The sequence below is a fragment of the Homo sapiens genome, chromosome 13 (genome assembly GCF_000001405.40).
Source record: "Homo sapiens chromosome 13, GRCh38.p14 Primary Assembly".
Lineage (NCBI taxonomy): Eukaryota > Metazoa > Chordata > Mammalia > Primates > Hominidae > Homo > Homo sapiens.
The window spans coordinates 75,870,403-75,893,561 of record NC_000013.11 but is presented as its reverse complement, the minus strand read 5'-3'; the positions used below and the strand labels follow the sequence as shown (position 1 = coordinate 75,893,561).

The window sequence follows — 23,159 nt, the reverse complement described above, 5'->3', positions numbered from 1 at the left end:
GGAGCAATAACAATGCCCATTAATTAAGAAATGGAGGAAATGGTGACCTGTGAAATCTTTGATTGTAAGGAATGAAGTTAGAGTGTGTTGGTGCTGGAGGAGCCCTGGGTTTTGGTTCGGTCCCCGCTTTGTTTCTCATTAGCATTATTGAGCAAATCATTTAACCTCTCAACGTCATTGTCTCCTACAAATACAGCTAGATTATAACACTGGCCCCTCCTTTTTGTCGTGAGTAGCAGATGTGAAAGTGCTCTCATTCTCATTTATAGAGGGTTTATTATAAAACTTGATTTAGGAAGTATATGATGTAGAAGAATAAAAACTGTATATCCTACAGCATGGATATTGCCAGCTCTGTCTTCTCTAAGTATATATAATAATAATAGCAGCTCCCATTTGCTCAGTGACTGCTACATGCCTGATACTGTTTTGGAGATTTTAGCTTATTTACTCTCTACAGCAAACTTGAGTGACAGGTATTAACATCTCAATTTTGCAAATCAGGGAACCAAGTCTAAAGAAAATTAAGAAACTAGCTCAATGTCAAATGGCAAATCAAAAAAATCAAACCTAGACTCTTGTGTCTATAAAACCTAGGTTTTTCCTATTAGACCACATTGACCATGGACAGTCATCATTTCTCTAGGCCTCAGAGCTCTCTTCCATGAAATGAGGATTTTAAACCACATGATAAGTATTATTATCCCTTCTCTTTCAACGTGCACAATCACTGCATGTTTTTCTAATCTTATTAAACCCGAGGCGTGAAGAAGCCCAATCTATTTCCAAGTCTATATAACTTGAAAATGTTGAATTTTAGGAGTATATTTGGAATGGTTTTCATATTCAGCTTCTAATCTGTTATCAATAAATATTTCAATCTGAACCATGATTTTTTTTTAACTTATTGGAATCAATTACACAGGCCTTGATGCTCAACATTTTTTCTCCTCTGTGCTGGTCATATACGCAGTGCATTGCTAGCTGTATCATCTGTCCTTACTTGTCATGGAGGTTGAGGAAATGTACCCTAGGTGTGAATATTTTAAGAAGAGACCCCCTGTTTATTCTAATAAGCTGCCTTTTCACTGAGATGGTCTGAAAAACCATATTGTGCATCTGTTTGTGCACAGTTCAGCTCACATTGCAGACGTATATTATTTTACCCTATGCTCACTAGTACTAATCATCACTTTTATCTCTTTACTTTTAATTCCATACAATCCAGGCCAGAAGCATTATCAGTTTCTGACCGTAACCGGGGAGTGGGCCTGAGAAGTGAAAAAAATGAAACCCTTCACCTCTACATTGTCATGGACAAGATGTAAAATGGGGGCGTGGTGGGAGGAAGAACACACTCTGCCTTCTAAGTAGAAGCAAGAGACCAGGCTTGGAAATAGAGATCACTCCACAAGCATTAGTGGAAAGAGGACATACTCAAACAAGCACATCAAATATACCAATCAAGGGACATTCCCTCCACCTCCCTGGCAATCACCACACTCAGATACTAATGGTATGGCTGGAATTGCACTGTGCATATGAAAGGCATAGAAGAAAAGAAAGCATTGAGCTCTAAGGCTAGTGAGGTTTGTGTATGGTGGGTTTGGAGAGAGGAGGGAGCTGCTCCTCCTACAAATGTTTCTATTTGTAGGGAAATGATGAAGTACTAACTGGCTCTTCAGGGCAGACATTCTCCTGGCACAACCTGGAGACCCAGTGGGGACCTACACCTCAGGCTTTTTTGGTCCAAAAAGTCTTTGATATTCTCTAACTTCAGGTCTCCAAGGGTGATGAGAAATTGATGAGTAGTAATGTGATAACTTGGCTGTCAACTCCAAATCATTAATTTCATTCCCTGATTATCAGCCACATGGTCTTAACAAACTTACCAAATTAATGTGTCACTACTGGTCAGTTACTCGTCACCCTTGGAGACCTAAAGTTAGAAAATATCAAGGGCATTTTGGACCAGAAAATCATCTGGCTAAAATGCAATCTTTTAAGACACTCTGCCTTCTACAGAAACTCACTCAATCTCTACCTCCCAGTTGACCTCTTTTTTAATCTCTTGAATTTAAAATTTATGCAGCATCACTTTTCACTGCATGATTGAAGATTCCAAACTCTGAAATGTAATCATATGCAAAATGTTACTAGGGCAAAAGATCAAGGACCTGTATAAGACAATTTGACACATACAGAGGCCAAGTCAGAAAGGCCAAGGCAGAAAATAAATTGCAGCTAGCAAGGGCATGCAGGAGCAGCTGGGCCATGCTTTATAAATACATTAGCAGTGTGAGCAAAGTGTAGACTCCTTAATTGTTGTGGTGGGAAGGGAAATAAAACAAGAGATAACAGCAAAATGGTGGAGATATTAAATATCTCCACCTTCATAAGATACATATTAAATGCCTAGATAGTTTTACTTAATTTTTGACAAAAACAAAAAAGACTTCAATAACTAGAGGCCTAATTCTTACTGTACTTGAATTAAAAAGGAAAGTTAGACTGATGAGAAAATACCTTATCAACAGCCCACTGGGCATTTCTGAATGCTTCAAAATCACTGCAAACTCAATCCATTCAAAACAAAATTCATCATATTTTCATTGAAAATTATCCCACTCCCAAAATACTTGCCATCACTGCCAATGGCACTACCATTCATTTTCCCAAATTGTCAAGTCTTAAAACTTTTGAGTTATCTTTGACTCATTTCCCTCCCATATTTAATGTTCATTGTCACCAGCTTCAGGTTTTTTTTTTTTTTTTTACTTCAAAACATCTCTTGATTGATTTCTTTCTCTGCATCAATTGCTTCCTTTAAATGTTTCATCACACAATTTAACTGTTAAACCATTTCTCGTTGCCTCTTGGGATCCACTCATTTTATACATCACATTTCTTGTTGCGGTTCTTTTTCCAAAACCAAGAAAGTTCTCTGTTTTCTGTGTCATCAACTCTTTGCCCACCAGCATAGTTCTACACAAGATATAAAATCTTATGAGATGTGATTGGCCACCTCAATCCTCTCATCTCTAGTCTAGTCACCAAACCTCTCAGAATTTCCAATTCTTGCCCCCATGAAAGGCACACTGTTTTTCTCAAACACCCAAAACAGACACAAACACTGAATATAAGCTCTGTTTAGACCCAGACTCAGGGGGCCTCAAGTGTCCGAGTTCTGATTCTCATTAGCCACATGGACACCTTTGAGTTTTGGGATTGAAAATAAAAGGCAAGAACATAGGAGAAAAGTAGCAGCACTGACACTTTAAGCAGAATTTAGCTTGGGCCATTGTGCATCCTTTTCTTACAAGATAAGTAACATTGGCTTATGTAGCCAAGAACCTGTGTTCTTGACAGCTTAATACAACAAAGGTTTGTTTCTCTCTCATGCCACAGTCCAATGTTAGTCTATGGTGGAGGGTGGGACAGTAAGAAGTGGTGAGCAGTGGATAACAGGAGAACTCAGGCATCCAGACACCTTGAATCTGGAAGTGCTGCTACTTTCAATGTGACTTTCAAGGCTGCTGAAAAACAAGAAGAGAGAAGAAATGAGGGTCATGCCCAGGAGCTTTACATGGGCCAGGCCTAGAAGTGGCTTATATCACTTTCACCCGTATTCTATCAGACAGATAGTCAAATGGCCCCAAACTAACTACCAGGGATCTGGAAAATATTGTTCAGCTATGCACCCAGGAAAAAGAATAACACAGATATTTTTGAGAACCAAAATTTTCTGCTCATCATCCAAGTTTCAACTCCTTTCTGGCTACTTAGAAACTGTGAAAGGAAAATAAAAATCCTAGGACCCCAAACTCACTATGCCAAAGGGAAAAGTTAAGCTTAAAAGCTGAGTCATGCAAAAAAAACTGCCTTTTCTTTTGTTCCTAAGTAAAATAGCTACAGATAGAAAGCCACAGATCTCCACAGTTAGCCTCCCTCACCCTGACAATGTAAATTAACAGCTTATCTTCATGGTAAAGGATAAGAGGAGACTAGAAATCATCCCCTCCCCCAGCCCATCCTGTAAAGTGCAGATTTACTGAGCACCAGATGAATACCTAATTGACTGTTCCCTTTAACCCCTCCTTTTCATGCAACATGTCAATTCAGTGAGCTCTAATCAAAGCCTCACAAGAATGTGACCATACCTTCTGTATTAGTTCGTTCTCACACTGCTATAAAGAAATACCTGAGACTGGGTAATTTATAAAGGAAAGAGGTTTAATCAGCTCACAGTTCCACATTGCTGGGGAGGCCTCAGGAAACTTACAATCATGCCAGGAGGGGAAGCAAGCAGCTCTTACATGGCAGCAGGTGAGAGAAAGAGACCATGTGCAAGCTCAAGAAAAACTACCATTTATAAAACCATCAGATCTCATGAGAATTCACTCACTATCATGAGAACAGCATAGGAGAAATTGCCCCCATAATCCAATCATCTCCCACCAGGTCACTCCCTCAACACCTGGGGATTACGATTCAAGATGAGATTTGGGTGGGAACACGAAGCCTAACCACATCACCCACCCTCTTTTTTCTTTCCCCTTTTCCCTCCTGTCTGTTTTTTTTCTTTAAATGTTGAAGCCCTCCAAATCCTCTTTAGAAAAACTTGTGGGCCACAGATCCTGCTGTGGCTCATGTCTCTTTTTCTTCGGCACATCCTCAACCTTGGCAAAATAAACCTCTAAATTGATTGAGACTCACCTCAGTCATTTTCTCTGGTTTTACAAATCTATTCTTAGATTTGCCCTCCAATCCATATTTATTTACCCCCAGTTTAAGTCACTAATTCCCACTAAGGAACCAAACCCTTGAGCAGTTTTTACTCATTTTTTTAAATCACATGTGTTACAGTAGTTCCTCTTCTGGATTTTGCCTCTTCTGTTTGGTTTTGACTAGTTTAGCTATGGATAAACCACTGCACCATGACTGGCAGGTTCTACCCTGTTCTCACGCAGCCTAACATTACAGGAGAGTAGACCCTAGACACTGGTGGCTGATTCCTGCGTTTCAAAGGAATAACAATTATCTCAATTATTCCAACATTCATACTCTAATTATCCACATATAGAGTTTAATAGAACAAACTCTGGAATCAGAGAGACCAGGGTTCAAATTCTATAGGGCCCTGTTATCTGGTATGCAACCCCACTGTGGTATCAACCTCCCTAAGCCTCAATTTCCATATCTGTAAAATGCAAATAATAACATTACTTTCAGAGTTGTGAGGGCAGAATAAAAGCTTTGTTAAAAGCTTAACACGAAAGCAGTCCCATTCATCAATTGAATGAAGAGGTCATTTGGCATTGTTAAATTAGCGACAAATTCTTAATACCAAGGAAAGATTCCATAAGGTTAGCATTTTACGCAACAGCAACAAGCTGATGGAGAAGGTGTTTGGAAATCAGGTAATGACCTAGGAAGGTTCTGCTGCAATATCTGAAACCAAAGTTAATCTCCCCCTCTTTATAATAGGCTAGTAAAATGGGATGCTTCTGACTCTGCATCTTTGCAGAGCTTCCATGAAAAATAAAGTAAGTGGCAAGTACCTGCACGTCCTGAGGCAGAGTGGTAAGATCGCACAGGAAGGCCAAAGGACGGGTGAAGGGATTTTCAAACCAATCAGACCAGCATTAATCCACCAGTCACCACCAGGCCATATGCAAACAAACAAACAAACAATTCATTAATGGAGGGGAGAAGAGGCCAGAAAAGAGGGCTTTTCTGGAGAGAGACGTGTGAGGGCTGTGTGCACAACTCTCCCTGCAAAGTTAAAGAGGGGGTTGCTTCCCCTCAACTTTCAGTCATAGAAGCACTCCACCTGGAGGGCCTGGCATGTCCTCTGGGGTGTGAGGGCTGTAGAGGTTTGGATCCGACTCACTTCCACAGTCTGAAGGCTAAGGAACTGATGGAACTGCAAAGGTGAGCAAAGAACATGTAACAGCAGGCAGAGTGTATATTCCCCAAAGCCACCAGCAAGAGAAGGCATTATTATCATAATTTTGCTTGGCAGTTCTATGCAGGAAAGACAGTCAGAAAACACTCAAAAGCTCTAATGAAAGAAAGAACCAGAAAATACATCACAGTCTTGCATCCAGAGGGCAAGAACTTCAGTTTACACTCACACCCGCTCAGAAGTCTACAGCCTTCTTCCCTAATCCCTTGTCCTGCATGACCCAGCACTGGAGGGACAAAGCCAGCCTCCAGTAAAAGGTGAGTGAGAGAGGAAAGGCTGAGAAGAGAAGCTGGCAATGCCCTCCTCCCTCACCACAGACTTCCATGCTCAAAGCAGGACCAACCTGGGGTGAATGGAAGCTTTATCCTGGTTAAAAGTTTAAAGACTTAATGTAGTCTCTCTTGAATGAGACTGCTCTTATGGCTGAAGAATATTAGAAATGCTATGAGACTTGCCTAAAGTTTTGTCTAGTGATGGGAAGATCTGGCCCCTGACAGTATGTTTGAAGGGGCAGCAGGAGAAAGAGGAAGTTGCTTCCTGCTCAGTCTCTAAATGGGGTCCAGCTCATTCCATAAACCAGCATTGCCAGTTGACTTAGCCTGCTCTCCCAACCTCTTGATTTGATCATGGCTCTTGTCCTCAGACCAGACATCTTTAGATATCATATTCATTCAATAAATATTTCTTGAATAGCAACTAAGTGCCAAGTACTATTCTGTTGCACACTAGTAAAAATATCTGTTTTCATGAAACAAATAAATATCCTCTTTGCAAAGCCAAAGGCAACAACAACACATGTTTCAGTCCATCCTCATGAGTTTCAGCTCATGCTTGTGGGTTCCAGTTAGCCCCTGATCACTCTACCATATACCCATTATTACATTCATTTTTCTCTCCTGACTGCTGCCCTGTGGACATTAAGCTCCAGCAACAGCTAGAGAGAGAGAGGGAAAAACAGTACAAATCAACAGACTTACCAAAAGACATACAGACAGACGACAGATCAAGTTTTTCTGCTTAAACCCTGACCATGAAAAAACGGTCCGGTGGAGGTGATAGGGAAGTTGTTTTAAAGAGTCAGGTAAAGCTAAGAAGGTAACATCTGAGTAGAGAGAGACCCAAATGAGGTAGAAAATGAAGCATGAGAGTATCTGGAGGAAAATGATTCTGGCAGAGAGAAGAGGAAGAACAAAGGCCCTGGGTTGGGAATAAGAGTGGGCATGTTGGAGAAACAAAAAATCCTACATGACTGGATCAGAGAGGGAAACGTTGAGGCTACTGGGTGGAGAATTGACTGGGGAGCATCAAAAAGAAACAAAGTCTTGGCAGAGGCTTAGGCTGTAGGGCAGTGGTAGAAGTGTGCAGACTCCATACAGTCATGCGCCACGTAACATTTCATTCAACAACAGATCACATAGACAATGGTGGTCTCATAATATTATTATGAAGCTGAAAAATTCCTATCACCTAGTGACATTGTAGCCATCATGACCTAGCCATGGTAATATCATAGTGCAACACATTGAGCACACATTTGTGATGAGGCTGATGTAAACAAACTTACCGAGCTGCCAGTTGTAGAAAGATCTAGCACATGCAATGATGTAAAGTACATAATACTTGAAAATGACAATAAATGGCTGTTACTGGTTTATGTATTTACTATGCTTTTTATCATTATAGAGTGTATTCCCTCTACTTATTATTTTTAAAAAAGGTTAACTGTAAAACCGTCTCAGGCAGGTCTTTCAGGAGGCATTCCAGAGGGCATTGTTTTCGTAGAGATGACGGCTTCATGTGTGTTATTGCCCCTGAAGACCTTCCAGTGGAATAAGGTATAGAAGTGGAAGATAGTGATATTGACGATCCTGATTTTGACCCTGTGTAGGCCTAGGCTAGCATGTGTGTTTGCGTCTTCGTTTTTAACAAAAAAGTTTAAAAAGTAAAAAAAAAATAAATGTAAAAAGAAAAAAGCTTATAGAATAAGGACATAGGCTGGGCACAGTGGCTCACATCTGTAATCCTATCACTTTCAGAGGCCAAGGAGGGTGGACGGCTTGAGCTCAGGAGTTCAAGACCAGCCTGGGCAACATAGTGAAACCCTGTCTCTACAAAAAGCATACAAAATTAGCCAGGTGTGGTGGTATGCACCTGTAGTCCCAGCTACTCAGGAGGCTGAAGTAGGAGGATCACCTGAGCTCGGGAAGTTGAGGCAGTGAGCAGAGATTGTGCTACCGCATTCCAACCTGGGCAATGGGAGTGAAACCTTGTCTCAAAAAAAAAAAAAAGAAGAAGAAGAAGAAGAAGGACATAAAGAAAGAAAATATTTTGTAAGACTGTACAATGTATTTGTGTTTTAAGCTAAATTTTATTACAAAAGAGTCAATAAATTTAAAATTTTAAGTTTATGAAGTAAAAAAAAGCTACAGTAAGCTAAGGTTAATTTATTATTAAAGAAAGAAAAACATTTTAAATAAATTTAGTATATCCTAATTGTACAGTGTTTAGAACGTCTACAGTAATGCAATGTCTGAGGTCTTCACATTCACTCACCACTCATTCACTGACTCACCCAGAGCAACTTCCAGTCCTGCAAGTTCCATTCATGGAAAGCACCCCATATCATTTTGTATCTTTTATACGGTATTTTTACTGTACCTTTCTTATGTTTAGATACACAGATACTTACCATTGTGTTACAATTGCCCATGGTATTCAGTACAGTAACATGCTGCATAGGTTTGTGACCTAGGAGCAACAGGCTGCACCATATAGCCTAGGTGCGTAGTAGACTACACCATCTAGGTTTGTGTTAAGTCCTCTCTGTAATGGGCACACAGCGACAGAATTGCCTAACCATGAATTTCTCAGAATTTATCCCCTTCATTAAGCGATACCTGACTGTATATACTTTGAAAGTAGAGGTGACAGGAATTATTGATGGAATGAATATTGTTGTGAGGGAAAAGAGAAAAATCAAGAAAAAACCTACAAGAATCCCTGTCCGCAAGGAAACAATCTGTTGCTTGATATTTCTAGAGTAAAACTTAAACCAGGCCCTACAAAGCGAAGGAGCATGGCTCTGTTTTAGAGCATTGGTGAGGACTAGTTCTATACACGCTCATACTCATACATTCTTGCAAACTCCCTTAATCATTCGAATAACTGTGTCTTCCATCCTCCTCACTCAGCCGTGAGCTCCGGAAGGGTGGGGATTATTCTTATTCATCATTTCTTGCCCCACTCCACTTAGTGCAGTGATTTGTGGAGAATAGGGTTTAATGAAATTTTTTGTGTTGATTTTGCTTCAAAAAAGATTTGAGGCCGGGCATGGTGGCTCACGTCTGTAATCCCAGCACTTTGCGAGGCCGAGGTGGGCGGATCACGAGGTCAGGAGATCGAGACCATCCTGGCTAACATGGTGAAACCCCGTCTCTACTAAAAATACAAAAAATTAGCCGGGCGTGGTGGCGGGCGCCTGTGGTCCCAGCTATTCAGGAGGCTGAGGCAGAAGAATGGCGTGAACCCGGGAGGCGGAGCTTGCAGTGAGCCGAGATAGCACCACTGCACTCCAGCTTGGGCGACGGTGTAAGACTCCATCGCAAAAAAAAAAAAAAAAAGTTGAAACATACAAACTGTTGTAAACTTCCCTAATTCCTTCAAATCACATTACAAAGTGGCTTATGGTTTTCTTTTTTAGAATGCTAATATACGCATTTGTTTATATATGCAAATTTTTTATCTTTGGTAAATTTCAAGGACTTGAGGGTACACCATGAATTAAAGATTATAAAGGAGATCCTTTTATTCTTGCCATTTACTTCACAAAAGAATTAGAATTTATTTTAACACAGTATATTCATATGTTAAACAGATTTTAGGCAACTAAATGCTAAGAGAGACAACCAAAGCCAATTCAATATCTTACACATATTGGATATTAATTAATACAGTTAATTAAAGCAATTTGAAATCTCCTTTTCCTGATTCCATTAGCATTGGCTTTTTCAACTAATAAAGAATTTTTCTTAAGTATTATGAATTGTTATGAAAATCAGAAATTGCAGGGGCATTTATGGAGGAGAAATAATTTATTCATTAATTACTAAAATTCACTGACCATAAATTTGTCACCGAAATAAAACTGTGGCACTTATGCCCAGATGCACTCATAAATAACTAAATAATTAAACTCACAGCCAAAGAACAAAAGCCGCTCAATGGGCACAATGAAATCCAAATTAGTATCTCACAGGACTAAAATAGAAAATGTAATAAAATTATGCTAATCTGCATGTGACCCTGTCAAAGCTTTTATGCTAGCAGTTTCCAGAAATTCCACTTTGTTTTCCAAAACTGAGTTCCTGTTCAGTGTCCCTTAATTGTGGCAAAGTATTTGAAACATTCCAAGGCATATGTTGTCCCTATCAACACTGTATCGGTTGTGACAATGAGGACTGTGATCTTCCAGCTCTCTGAGGACATCCTCCCCTAACTTCTCATTTTACCAGCTTCGGCCCAAGCCTCCTCCACCAGATACAAAGCTAGGGGAAAGAAAGATGAAGAGATGAGAACCAGCATTATTGAATACCTATGATTCACTAATAGTAATAACTGCACTCAACACCTGGCTTAACTATATTCACTTATTTAACCCCTATGATATATTTTTCTCCATTTTCAAACAACAAAATTGACATCAAAGGTTTAATCAGATTCCTCAAAGTCACCCAGGACCAGAGGTTTTGTATCTAGCTTTTCTTAATTCCAAAGTCCATATTTTTGTTTGGCCTAAAGATAAGACCTCAAGTCCCACACTCATTCTGGACATCCTGCTCAGAAATCCCTAGAAATCTATAGCTCTGTGTTGAGTCCACTCTGGATAGACCAGCCTGCTCAGAGGGTAGCTGCTCCCTTTTTTTCATGAAGCTGTTTTACTCAGCAACCTCATCCTGTCTTTGGAAAACAAATCAGTGAATATATTGGTTGTAACCTAGAGACCCCTGACATATTAGAAGCATGTTGATTATGAAGGGATCACCCGCATTTACTGTGTTCTTTAATGTTATATGAAAATATGGGGAAACTGGCAAGGTAAATTCACTGGAGGAGCCCTTGAATAATGAGTCAGATATCAGAAGAGTGAGTAAATGCAAAATAATTAGTTACCATTTCTGGCTTCTTCCTGCCTCTGCTAGTTTTTTAAAAAAAATATCCAGGCTTGGGTCCATAGAATTTCAACTTCTTATCTTTGCCCTCCTACTTAACTAAGTCACCTTGGCCAAGACCTTGACCTTGTAGAGCCTCTACCTTATTTGCAAAATTGTGTCAATTAAGTCAACTTTACATAGCTGCTAGACACTCGAACAAGAGTATGTGCACCCAAAAAGAGTCCAACAGAGTTAATGTAGCCCCCATGTATGTTTTTCCTTGACCAGCAGAGCAGTGTTTTTAAATATGAATTTGAACTTAAGAGGTTAATGAATGTCCCAGTCGGGCACAGTCCCCACCACTCCCTATTGTCATATAGCGGCAGCTCCACACATTGACACTCTCTGCCTGGACCCCTAGGCATTTAAGCTTGCATCTTATATGTTTGATAGTCTTCTGTAATCATATGGCTATTGTAAATATTGTGTATTGTTTTGAGGATAAGAATCATATCTTAATATCTTCAGATCACAAACATATATACAACAGAATGTCATGAAGATAGTGAGCTCTAAATGGAAGTTTCTAGAAATGAAATAATATGGATGGTGTCTTGATAGAAGTTGTGGCACTCTCTATAGAGAAATCATTCTTGCAAACCTGATCAAACTGCAAAACACTGATTTCCAGGGCCCAAGACACTAACTAGTCTTCCTTTGGCTTACCAGAGAACACTCAGATTCTTTTTAAAGAAATAATCTTAATGCCTGACTTGGATTGAAAACCTGCATTTGTATTCTACAGCAATGGTTCAGGTCATGAACGTTTCACAAGGAAATCAAATAAGTAAATCAATAGTACAGAAACTGTTTACCCCAGGGCCCATCTGCTACCCTGTGGTTCATTATAGTACTTCATATTGCCATGATTAGAGTTCCTCTCTTGTGAGTTAAATAAATGGTATTTTGAATTATGAAAAGTTATTATATATTCATCTAAGCAACTTCCAAAGAATTTTTACACACCACTGAGTACTGGGTATTACATGGCACTGGGGGAGGTTCAGCCGGAGTCTAAAGCATGATTTACAGGTCAGGCTAACCACAGGAGAGGGTAAACAACAAGCAGAGGTATTTCAGACCCGCTATTCAAAACTTTCTCCTGCAGGCTGGGTGCCTTTATTTACATCTGCTTGTGAAAGAATAACATATGTGCAAGAAAATTGCACACTCCAGACCCCTTGTCATTGATTTACATAAACAGAAAAACCCACAAGTTTATATCGGTTCCTCTTCTTTCTTCATAATAGGACAAGTTTTCTCCAGTGGTTTAAATCATTCTTTTCAGCCAAAGCTTTCTGATTGCTCCTTCCTATCAACTTTATTCCTCTCAGTATCCTACAATAGGATAATAACAAAAGCATTGGAGTCTTAATTTCGCAAATAAAAAGGGAGACAAAATGATCAGCCCCAAATCCTCATTCAGCACTAGCAACTGGCTCCCCTTCTCTGGCTCTCTTCCATATCATACTGTTCAGACACATGTGGCCAGGGATCCAGGTCAGCAAGATGGGCTCCATCAGATGTAAGTGGTGCTCAGTGCAGACCTCAGTGGGAGAGAATACATTTCAGCCTAAAGGCCTTTGACGACATATCTCTGGGAGAGGTTAACAAATCATTCATTATTCTTGCTTTTACTCTATAATTATCCCAAATATGTGGGCCATGAGTCCCCTGGAGATTTGGAGAATTAATACAAGAAGGGAGAGAAGAATCCATATTTTCAGAGCATATATACTCAAACAATGTCTGTAGATTGCATAAATATCTTGCACATATAGCTGCTACTGTTTTAAAATTTATACGATTCATATGCACTGCTCTGATTTATGAAATAGCAATTATTTGAAGTGCTATTAAATCATTATGATTTTCTAATTATGCATTGCCACAATCATTACATGATAACCAAGTACACATACTATTATGTAGGGGTTACTGGAAAATAAATGAAGTTTTGTGCCTTCAGAAAGTTGAGACCCACTATTCTAAATGATATGATAAAGTTTATGTTACAAAATAAAATTGGATACAAGGAATCCAGTTTCTTTTTGTGTAATGAACATCTTGAAGCACAGTTTTCAACACTTTTATTCTTTCAAAATTTTATTATTTCCATTTATACCTTTTTGTGTCTATTTTTTTAAAGTTTTGTTTCCCAAAAAATGCCTGTTAAAAAATTTCTTACTTAGGCTTTTCATAGTAAACATATACTTTTTAATAGGAGTTTTTATTTTTTTAATTAAAATCTCCTTTCCATTCCAATACTTACTTTAAAGACACCTAATTGGGAATTGCAGCTTTTATGTTTTTTCAATTTATTTTGAGTTTATTTTTAAAGCAATCACAGAATCTCCAACACTGGTTCCTCTGTATCAGAGCCTCTGATGCACACGTGGATATCTAGTCATTATACCTATTTTTTATCTCTTTCTGGCAATTAAGAACATTCTATATTACTTAGTTCAGAAATAGTGCTATAACTAGTGACATAGTCCTTTGTCTTACAACTGGCTCCATGCCAGAAAAATATGACTGATTTTTCTGAAGAAAGAAGTGTATGTCCCAGAGTTTATTGAGATGATCCCCAAGCAAACTTACAGGCACAATGCTGATTTCAGTGTAGACTTCCTACTGGCCCATCTATGGACTCAAAAATCACTGCCTTACGATAGAAAACCTGGGGAAATGGCAATCGTCATTATGCGAATTGTACTGGTCTTTTTCAATACTTGAAAAGTACAAGATACTACATTTAGAAGACAATAAATTGCAATTATCTTAACCTAGAAGGAAAGAAAGAAACTGAAGTGACCTACAATAGCCATGCACTTGGCAATGATGCATAATTGACACTGTTGAGATGGGTTCTGAGTATGATCATTTTTATTATATCATAATCATTATCATTTCACACATGAAATGTATCATAAAACGAAACCCTAAGATACTACATTTTCACTGGGCTTAATTATACACCTTAAGTCATATTTTAAATACATTACACACACACACACACACACACACACACACACACACACACACGGTATAAATCCTTCTGAGTGCTTGGTCCACTTATTCCTTTGCTTAACTAATTGACCTTTGTAACCAAGAAAATAGTCCTGGATCTCCACCAAGAAATGAACAGCGAAAGTTTCAAAAATAATAAGTAAAGACCAATTATGAAATGTGTCCTCAAATAAATTGTTCCTCAAAATGATTATCAAAATCACATGGGGAATTTTTACTTTTTAATGCAACTTCTCATCTCCCATGACTAAAGTTTCAATAGGTCATAGACAGAGCCTAGGATCTGTATTTATTTAACCCATGAGGTAATTCCAATAATCAGAGAGGTTTGGGTACCACTTACTTGACCTTCTGTTTTTGGAATGTCCCATATGCTCTAATCACCCTCTGATATTTTTCTGAAAACCTACCAGATTTGCCAATGTCAGCAGCCAACCCTAGTCTTCCATGCCACCTAAAGTCTAGCCCACAGCCCACCTCTTCTTTGTTTGCTAGCAATCAGAGAAATAGCACAGCACATGTTTGGACTAATCAAATCTAATAATGAATTGGCACTTACTGTCTACATGGGTTGTTTGTAATGATCATTTGTTCTGATTTCTGGCCATTGTGAGTGATAGGCTTGCTATTCTGCAGCAACTATAACAGATGCAAAGAAACAAGGGACAGGATAAAGAAGAGTACCAGCCTTTGTGCACTCTCAAGGCCACAAGCAGTTCTCACAGTGACCATGTAGCAGTGGACTTGGGAAGACCACAGAAGCCTAGTGATCCTCAGCTGGGAACTTACCTTTGTTTGACATCAACACGTTCTCTCACTGAGTCATTTTAGTTCAAAGTGATACATGTTTTCTGTTGTTTGTTGTTTGTTTTGGTTTGGTTTAGTTTTAGAGACTGGTGACCAAACTAGTAACTTTTGCTCACAGTAGCTGAGGCACGCAGTTCTTTAAGAAATCTAGATAAAATCAGAATTTCCACTAAGACTTTTGCACCTTCTTGAGCTACTTTGCATTTTCCTAGAGTTTCTGTAAGGACTTGACTCTGAAGCATTTCATGAAATTTAGTAGAATTTACTTCTTCAAGATGTTTGTGGTTACAGGGAGATTCACACTGTGGAACAAGAAGACTTCCACCCAGCCACCCAGTTCCACTCTCATGACTTTCCCCATTATTATTCCTGTACTTTCTCCTAGCCCCCAGTTCTGCAACCTCAAGGCAAAGCAGTGCCAAAGTCTGGATATAAGGTGGGATACAGGAGTGATTAAAGGCATGAGCTTTAGCTGGGGTCACACTGCCTGGATTTAAATCCCACCTTGATCAGCACTGTGACTTTGAATAAGACTCTTGGCCATTAGCTATCTCATTTGTCAATTGGGAATGATAATAATGGTGTTTTCTCCACTGAGTTTTTGGGAGAATTATATGAGACCATGTATTAAAGCACAAAGCATAGAATTTGGAACATTATAGGTTCCCACAATATCCCCCAGGAGGCACTTAATATTTGATGATTGACTGAGCTGTGAAATGATGCACCTGATCGGCTTCCTGCCTCATTAATTAGGATTAGAAATGGAATCCAGCTCAGTATTTTATTATTAATACCCAACTAAATACTTGGAGAAATCAAATACCAGTGATTTCAAGAAATTCACATCTAGTTAGGAATATACTGTAAACACATGAAACAAGAGATCTGAGAGGCAAAATACAAGGTGATTAAATTAATAAAATAGAAAATAAAAGTTAAGCAAAGTCATGTTCAGAGTTTGGTAGTGATATTCAATGAAAGTATTTTGAAGGATACATTTTGAATTTGATGTTAAAAATGCTAAGCAACTGAACGTGGCAAGTATGACAGAATAGTTCAAATGGTGGCTACTGTTAAGAAACATACATTGACTGACGTGATTGGAAATAGCAGGTCAATGCAAAACCTTAGCTAAGGTGAGATGGGGAGGGGCAAATGGCAAACAGTAGAGGCCGGATGGGAGAGTTTGTGTTGATTCCTACGGTCATTGGTAGCTGTAAGCTGCAGAGAGAGAAAATAGGAGAGGTACTGGTGGAGAACAGCCTCCTGGAAGAACAAAGGAGTGTGGAATGTGGGCCCCAGAGCTCTGTGGGATGAATGGAGACAGTACAAGTTAATCAAATACTATTCCAGAAATAATGTTCTGACAATATTTAACATAGTTATAATTTCTATCATTTCATGAAATCAGAATCACTCAAACACAGAGCAAAATGTTTTCATGGCATTATCCTTCATGACTGTAGTGATGGAGTGGACCATATGCACACATCCAGTGGGCTGTGAGAGAGGGGAACTATGGGAATCAGCAAAAAATAAAAGCAGAGTCTGGCTTAGAAGCAATCAGATCTGCATTACCTCCTAGCTTTGCCAGTTGCTAGCTGGGTAACCTTAGGCAGGCTACATAACCTCTGTGAGCTTCAGGATCCTTCTGGGTAAAACGTGGATAATGCCCGCCTTGCACAGTTTTCCTGGGGATTAAAGGTAACATGTTCCATACAGTGTCTTCCACACAGTAAACACTCAAAAAATGCTAGACATTCTTGTGGCATGCAATGCATGTAATTGAACCTAAACAACAAGAAGGGCTAGAGTTGAGAGTACTCAAAGGCCCTATCAGAAACCCCAAGTTTTATTTTACTTATTTTTGTTTTTTAATTTTTAAGTTTATATTAAAACTTTTCGTTATTTACCCTCGTGTGAGCTACAGAAGCACCCAAGAGTTGTATTTGCCTTCCCCCTAGTGGTGAGACAAGCCCACTTCAGGCATGCGTCCGAACATCGCATTTTATTGACCAGAAACCCAAGGGCTGAAGAGGTAAAGTGACTTCCCCAAGATAACGGTGTTTTAAAAGGCGGTACTGGAATCCAGGTCTTAGCACTCCTCTTCATGTTATTTTCTAACCACAGCAGGGCTTCAGAGATCCGAGGTAAGTTTAGGCTGGGTGTTTAATGGATACAAAGTACTGATCTCCCTCCCATCACCTCTCTTATGCAATAAGGCTCTTTTTCCTTTTGTAATGAAAGAGTTTAAACAGCCAGCCCTCCTGCCACCTGGAGCCAGGCATAAATGAAATGGTTGTTGAAAAATAAAGGGAAGCTTGCGGTGCTTATGATCAGAGAGGGCTGGGCTCCCATGGAGCAAAAGAAGCCAAGTTGATGCATATTTTTAAAATCCTGATTTAGGGGTCACCAAGCACACACTTTACCAGGAAAGTGGCTGAGGTTGGATACAAGAGGTAAAGGTTCTCACCCTGGGGTGTGGTGGGCTGGGAATGGTTTGCAGCCAGATGAACTGGTTTGAATCCCGGGTACGTCTCTTAAGTGGTCTTTGGTTTTTGACTGATTTTCACAGACTAGATTTTGTCATCTTTAGTTTGAGAACCAATAATTAGCTTTTTAAAAAAAAAAAAGGAAAAAAAAGAACTATATCTGAGTTCCAAATGGCAAGATTTTCAAAAGGAAAGGTTGTTTTATACATAACAGAGCTTTATATAAATGCAAGATGTTACCATTTTCACATTGCAATATACAGTGGATATAAAAATCTACAACTTTGGGTAAAAAAATGTCTGTAACTCATTTCAGTTCTGTTATGAACAAGGCTTTTAATGTCTGTGAGCCTCACTTTAGTCATCTTAAAATATAAATACTCACTTTACAGGTTAATAATGAGAGTTCATGGCATGGCGTCTAGATGTTCAATAAATGTTAGTTGAATCTAAAATGAAAGCAACCAACCCTCAATTTCCTTCCTTTATTGTCTTCCCCAAAACCATACAAATAAGCAAGGCAGAAACTAGAGATGAAACTCAAGTCAATCAATTTGAAATTTTGGTCAGAGGTTTGGTTGGTAGACAAGATTAAAGACAACCTCAAACACAGCTCTACAGATTTATAGGTGGGTAAATTGCCCTTAGTAAACCTAGCCTCATTAACATGACAGGATGGCCTGGCTATATTTAGACGAATACCTGCCTTTTCTTTTGAAATTTAGGAAAGAGAATTTGCCAAGTTTTAGGGTTTTTTGAACTGTGTTCTATGAAACAATAAGGTGTCGGAGGGTTCTCAGGACTCTGCAAGAGAGGGTTGGTGATACTAGGGTGGGCTTCTGGGGGCCCCTGATTCTCTGGTTCAACCTAAGCATCCACACTTTTTATGTTTTTATTTGGGGAAAAAAATTCTGCTTTAAGACAATTTTTAAAACTATGACCATGGCCCTTATGAGGTCTGGTGACACATCCCATCCTGATTAGTTGGGCCTTTTTACATGTTCCAGAAGTGGCACCACGAATTCCAGCTAATTCTCTTACCAGCACAGACTGAGGATCGCAGAGGGGAAAGGCTGAGAAGAAACACAGCGAGATCATTAAAGTAACTGACTGGTGGGTCCAGGGAGGCTGGGGGAGGGATAATGGGGAAAGGAAACATGTTGATCAAAGAGTACAAAGTTTCAGTTGGACAGGAGTAATAAGCTTTAGTGATCTATTGCACAGCATGGCGACTATAGTAAATAATAATGCATTGTATATTTCAAAACTGCCAAAACACTAGATTTTAAATGTTTTCCCCACAGACACAAAAAAGTAAATATGTGAGGCCATGGATTTTTTAATTAGCTTGATCTCATCATTCTACGAGGTAAACATACATCAAAACATCACATGGTATCCCATAAATATAATTACTACTTGTCAATTAAAAACTTAAAAAATAAAGTAGCTGCCAAAGACTGTATACTGACTTTGTGCCAAGTCACTGTCCTACATCCAAAATTACTTTAGTGAATGCTCATAACAACTGCATGATCTGTGTAGTACTATTATGATCCCCATTTTACAGGTGAAGAAAACTGAGACACAGAGAGATTACTTGCCCAGAGAGTGAGCAGTGGAGTCCGGTACAGGAAATTTGGTTCTAGAACCTGCACTTTTAGCCTCTCTCCTAGATTGTTTCTCATCCCACAAATAAATCATGCAAATAACTGTAACTAGGAAGAAAAATAGTCAGCTCCAGTGTTGTCAGGAGTGTCACCTTGCTAGACAAGGGGTCATAGGCTATTATAGGATGCAACTTCGCTACATTTTCTACTGAAGAAACCCTAACTGAAGAAGAGGTGATGTCCCTAAAGCAGGCCATTGCAAGGGACAAATTATCCTGGAAGTTTGTTTTAGCTTAAAAATAAGTCATATGCGGCTGTGCACAGTGGCTCACACCTGTAATCCCAGCACTTTGGGAGGCCAAGGTGGGAGGATTGCTTGAGTCAGGGGTTCAAGAACAGCCTGAGCAACATAGTAAGACCCCAGTCTGTAATAAAAGAAAAAAAAATTGCCAGGTTTGGTCATGCATACCTGTGGTCCCAACTACTTGGGAGACTGAGGCGGGAGGATAGCTTGAGCCCCCTGGGAGGCCGAGGATGCAGTGAGCTGAGAATGTTCCACTGCACTCCAGCCTAGGTGACAGAGCGTGACCCTATCTCGAAAAAAAAAAAAAAAAAAAAAAAAAAAAAGTCACATGCAATCTGCATACTTTACAAATGGGAATTATATTTTTAAAAATATTTCCATGTTGCGATGACTAGTAACTTACCAGTGAAATTACGTAACCCTGCTTCCCCTTTATCCACCACCGCACTTCCAGCGAAATCATCATTCCCGAAACTGCGGTCTTTTTATCCCGTGGTTTCATGACATACGTGTTGTTGAAGCACAAATGTAAAAGACAGGAAATCTGTTAGCTATGGTCTGTTCAGTATGTTTTGAACACTGGGTTATATTAAGTTAATCTCCCAAACAAATCCTATGCTCCAGACCTCCTTTTCCCTCAATGACCTAACAGTAGGGCAGGAGTATCTTCCTGTTCCCCCAGAGGTGGATTGCCATGGAGCTCATGAAGCTTAAGGTGTAGGCCCCTTACTTGGACAGTAATGCATTGACAAAGTCATAAGAGTTTGTAAAGTTTGCAAAAGAAAAATATCTTAACCACAATCAGTTGACATCCCTGTCTCTTTTCATTTCTACTTTCCCTCTGTTACATCTTTCTTCTTGTCAGAAGGCAATGGGGTGGCCGTGGGCATTTTTAAGACCTGGAGAAGGGGAAGTTAATTTAAAGATATGTCATTTGTGTGAGTGAGATACAGTCACGTGGCTTGCAGTCGCTTCCATGTATTACTAGCTGTCTAGGAACAGAAATGGTTTCAAGGAAATGCCTGTCTTCCTCTGTGATGACCCACCCCACAATATTGTGATATGAAGATGTAAGGCATAAGTCAAATGAGTTATGAACATGGCAGCCAGCTTTAGGAGTGTTCAGCAGCAGGAAAAAACAAGGTTTGAAATGAACAAAATCAGAAGCTAATCTATAAAAATTCTTCCAAATATTACAGCTCATATGCAAAGAAAATTTCTAAGATGGTTTTCCCAATGTTGAGAATCTTAGAAATGTACATGGCATAACCAAATAGAAGGGTAAAGCTGAAAGAAATGCGTAAACTGTCAATATCTGGCTCAACTATGCTAAGAGAAAGACTAAATTACCTATTATCCATCAGAAACCTATGAAGAAGCAGAGTGTGTAGACAAAACTGTAGGAAAAAGTGACACAGATGCGTCAGGCAGTTAATGAATAAAAATGCCTTACTGGACTATGCATACACAGTTTATCAACTTTTTTAATTTTGTAATTTCATGGGATTTTCTTATTCTAAATACTCACATTTGCCCCTAAGTTTGTATTCTCTCTTAAAGAGGGTGACAAATTTGCATAAGTTTCAGATTCCATCAATCTGCCTGCCCCCGAGCATTACCCACCAATGTCCTCAGAGCACCTATGTGCTCTTCCTTCTGGCTGGAATATTCTTCCCCTAGAAAGGTGCACATCTCACTCCTTCGCTTCATTCAGGTTTCTGCTAAGACATCAGCATACTCAATTTCCCAAGCAAATTCCTATCTAAAATAGAATCCCCTAGGACCCTCGTATGCTGTTGGAGGGAATGTAAATTAGCATAGCCACTATGGAGAACGGTATGCAGGTTACTCAAAAAACTAAAAACAGAACTACCATATGATCCAGCAATCTCACTGCTGGGTATATACCCAAAAGAAAGGAAATCAGTGTATCGAAGAGAGATGTGCACTCCCATGCTTACTGCAGCACTATTCGCAATAGCCAAGACGGGGAATCAGCCTAGTGTTTATTAATGGATGACTGGATAAAGAAAACGTGGCACATATACACAGTGGAATATTTTTCACCCATACAAGAGAATGAAATATTGTCATTTGCAACAGTTTGGATGGAACTAGATGACAATATGTTAAGTGAAATAAGCCAGGCAGAGAAAGACAAATTTTGCATATCCTCACTCATATTTGGGAGCTAAAAATTAAAACAATTGAACTCATGGAGATAGAGAGGAGAATAATGGTTACCAGAGGCTGGGAAGGGCTGTGGGGAAGATAAAATGGGGATGGTTAATGGGTACAAAATACAGTTAGATAGAAATACACAACAGGGTGAGTATAGTTAACAATAGCTTGTTGCCCATTTAAAAATAACTAAGAGAGTAGAATTGGAATTTTCCTAACACAAAGAAATAATAAATGCTTGAGGTGGTAGATACCCCAATTGCCCTGATTTGACATTACACATTGTATGCTCGTATCAAAACATCCCATGTACCCCATAAACATGTACAACTATTATGTATCCATACTAAATAAAAACAAAATAAATAGAATCCCCTGTATTCCTCACCACTCTCTATCCTTTTATATCACTTTACTTCACAGTATTTACCACCTGATGTGTCCCCCCACTATAATATAATATAAGCTCCGTAAGAGGAGCAACGTCATCTGTTTTGTTCACTGCTTCATCTGTGTTGTTGAGATCAGTAACTGGCACACAGCAGGCACTCAAATATTTATGGGTTGAATAAACAAAAATGTGTGTGTGTGTATATGCACATGTGTGCATGCAGATTTATGGAGGCATGATAGATTGATAGATCGATAGATATAAATATATAGAGAGAGAGAAAGAGAGAGAGAGAGAGAGAAAGAGAGAGAGAGAGAGATACCCAAATCGATGGAATGGAAGGGTTGATCTGGTCTCTACAGCCAGGAAAATCCGATTCAGAGAAGGAGCAGGAGTTCTCGTCTTCCTGAGTCCATACGCCTTTGTCCAGCCAGGTCATCCTCTTTCATTTTAACCCATGGTAATTCCAGCAATCTACTCCTACTTTTCTCAGAGGAGCCCCGGGATAATCATCTAAAAAGAATAAAACTTTTAGTTTAAAAACTGCCCGTTTTTAAAGTCAAGACCCCAGTGACCTGGCAAATACTTGCCTCGCCCACAGAGTCACAAAGAAATGACTTCAGCAAAATCCCACCCGCCAAAGGCCGTTGGCTTATTGTCTGGGGGACCATTGAGATTCCTAAAACGTGACAGCCTCTATCAAACCTGCCAGCTCTCTCCAGGAAAATCAAGGACTCTTCAGGCCTCTGCATAGTGAGCTAAAGCGTTCCTAAGTCAGCTTTTGTGCAGAAAAACAGCCTTGTGCAAGCCCCTGATAGAGAAATTAGGACGTAGTTTCCTCGCATCGCACCGGACCACATTTGCTCCTACGAGGCAACGATCATTGAAATGTCCTGTTAATCCGTCAGCCAGTGTCCTGTAGGACTCGGCACTGGGGTGTCCCCAGACTACTAATATGGACTGATCGGTGGTTCAAAAGCTGACTAAAAAGTTATAAAACTGGAAAGGGAAATGGGGGGAATGGGGAAACCCGCAGTGTTTTTTTTCCCCGTCTGTGCTAACACTGCCACCTAGTGTTATGAATACGAAGAACCTGCAAAATCAAAATTCTCACAAAGAAATGCAGATTTAGGAACATAGTCTCATTAAGTGCCATTTATTGT

At 39.4% G+C, this 23,159-nt stretch overlaps 2 long non-coding RNA genes across 2 annotated transcripts, besides 2 other annotated features; both read right to left on the bottom strand.

Moving 5' to 3' along the window:
- Positions 3,736 to 4,294: an enhancer, noted in NCBI's record as "OCT4-NANOG hESC enhancer chr13:76463404-76463962 (GRCh37/hg19 assembly coordinates)". NCBI's record gives its function as "activates a minimal SCP1, AML or CMV promoter by ChIP-STARR-seq in naive H9 embryonic stem cells {active_cell/tissue: H9 hESC(naive)}" and the evidence as "EXISTENCE:reporter gene assay evidence [ECO:0000049][PMID:30033119]".
- LMO7DN (LMO7 downstream neighbor) lies at positions 9,749 to 22,524 on the bottom strand. The gene is made up of 4 exons (NR_164111.1): positions 22,319 to 22,524; positions 19,828 to 19,905; positions 19,590 to 19,710; positions 9,749 to 10,512 (listed from the first exon to the last, which is right to left on the bottom strand). It is a non-coding gene; the product is annotated as an LMO7 downstream neighbor (long non-coding RNA).
- On the bottom strand, positions 12,435 to 16,676 carry LMO7DN-IT1 (LMO7DN intronic transcript 1). The gene is made up of 4 exons (NR_126373.1): positions 16,597 to 16,676; positions 14,768 to 14,847; positions 13,780 to 13,858; positions 12,435 to 12,516 (listed from the first exon to the last, which is right to left on the bottom strand). It is a non-coding gene; the product is annotated as an LMO7DN intronic transcript 1 (long non-coding RNA).
- Positions 16,906 to 16,995: a silencer, noted in NCBI's record as "silent region_5406". NCBI's record gives its function as "represses an Ori minimal core promoter by ATAC-STARR-seq in GM12878 lymphoblastoid cells {active_cell/tissue: GM12878}" and the evidence as "EXISTENCE:reporter gene assay evidence [ECO:0000049][PMID:35858748]".
- Positions 22,525 to 23,159: the final 635 nt, after the last annotated feature.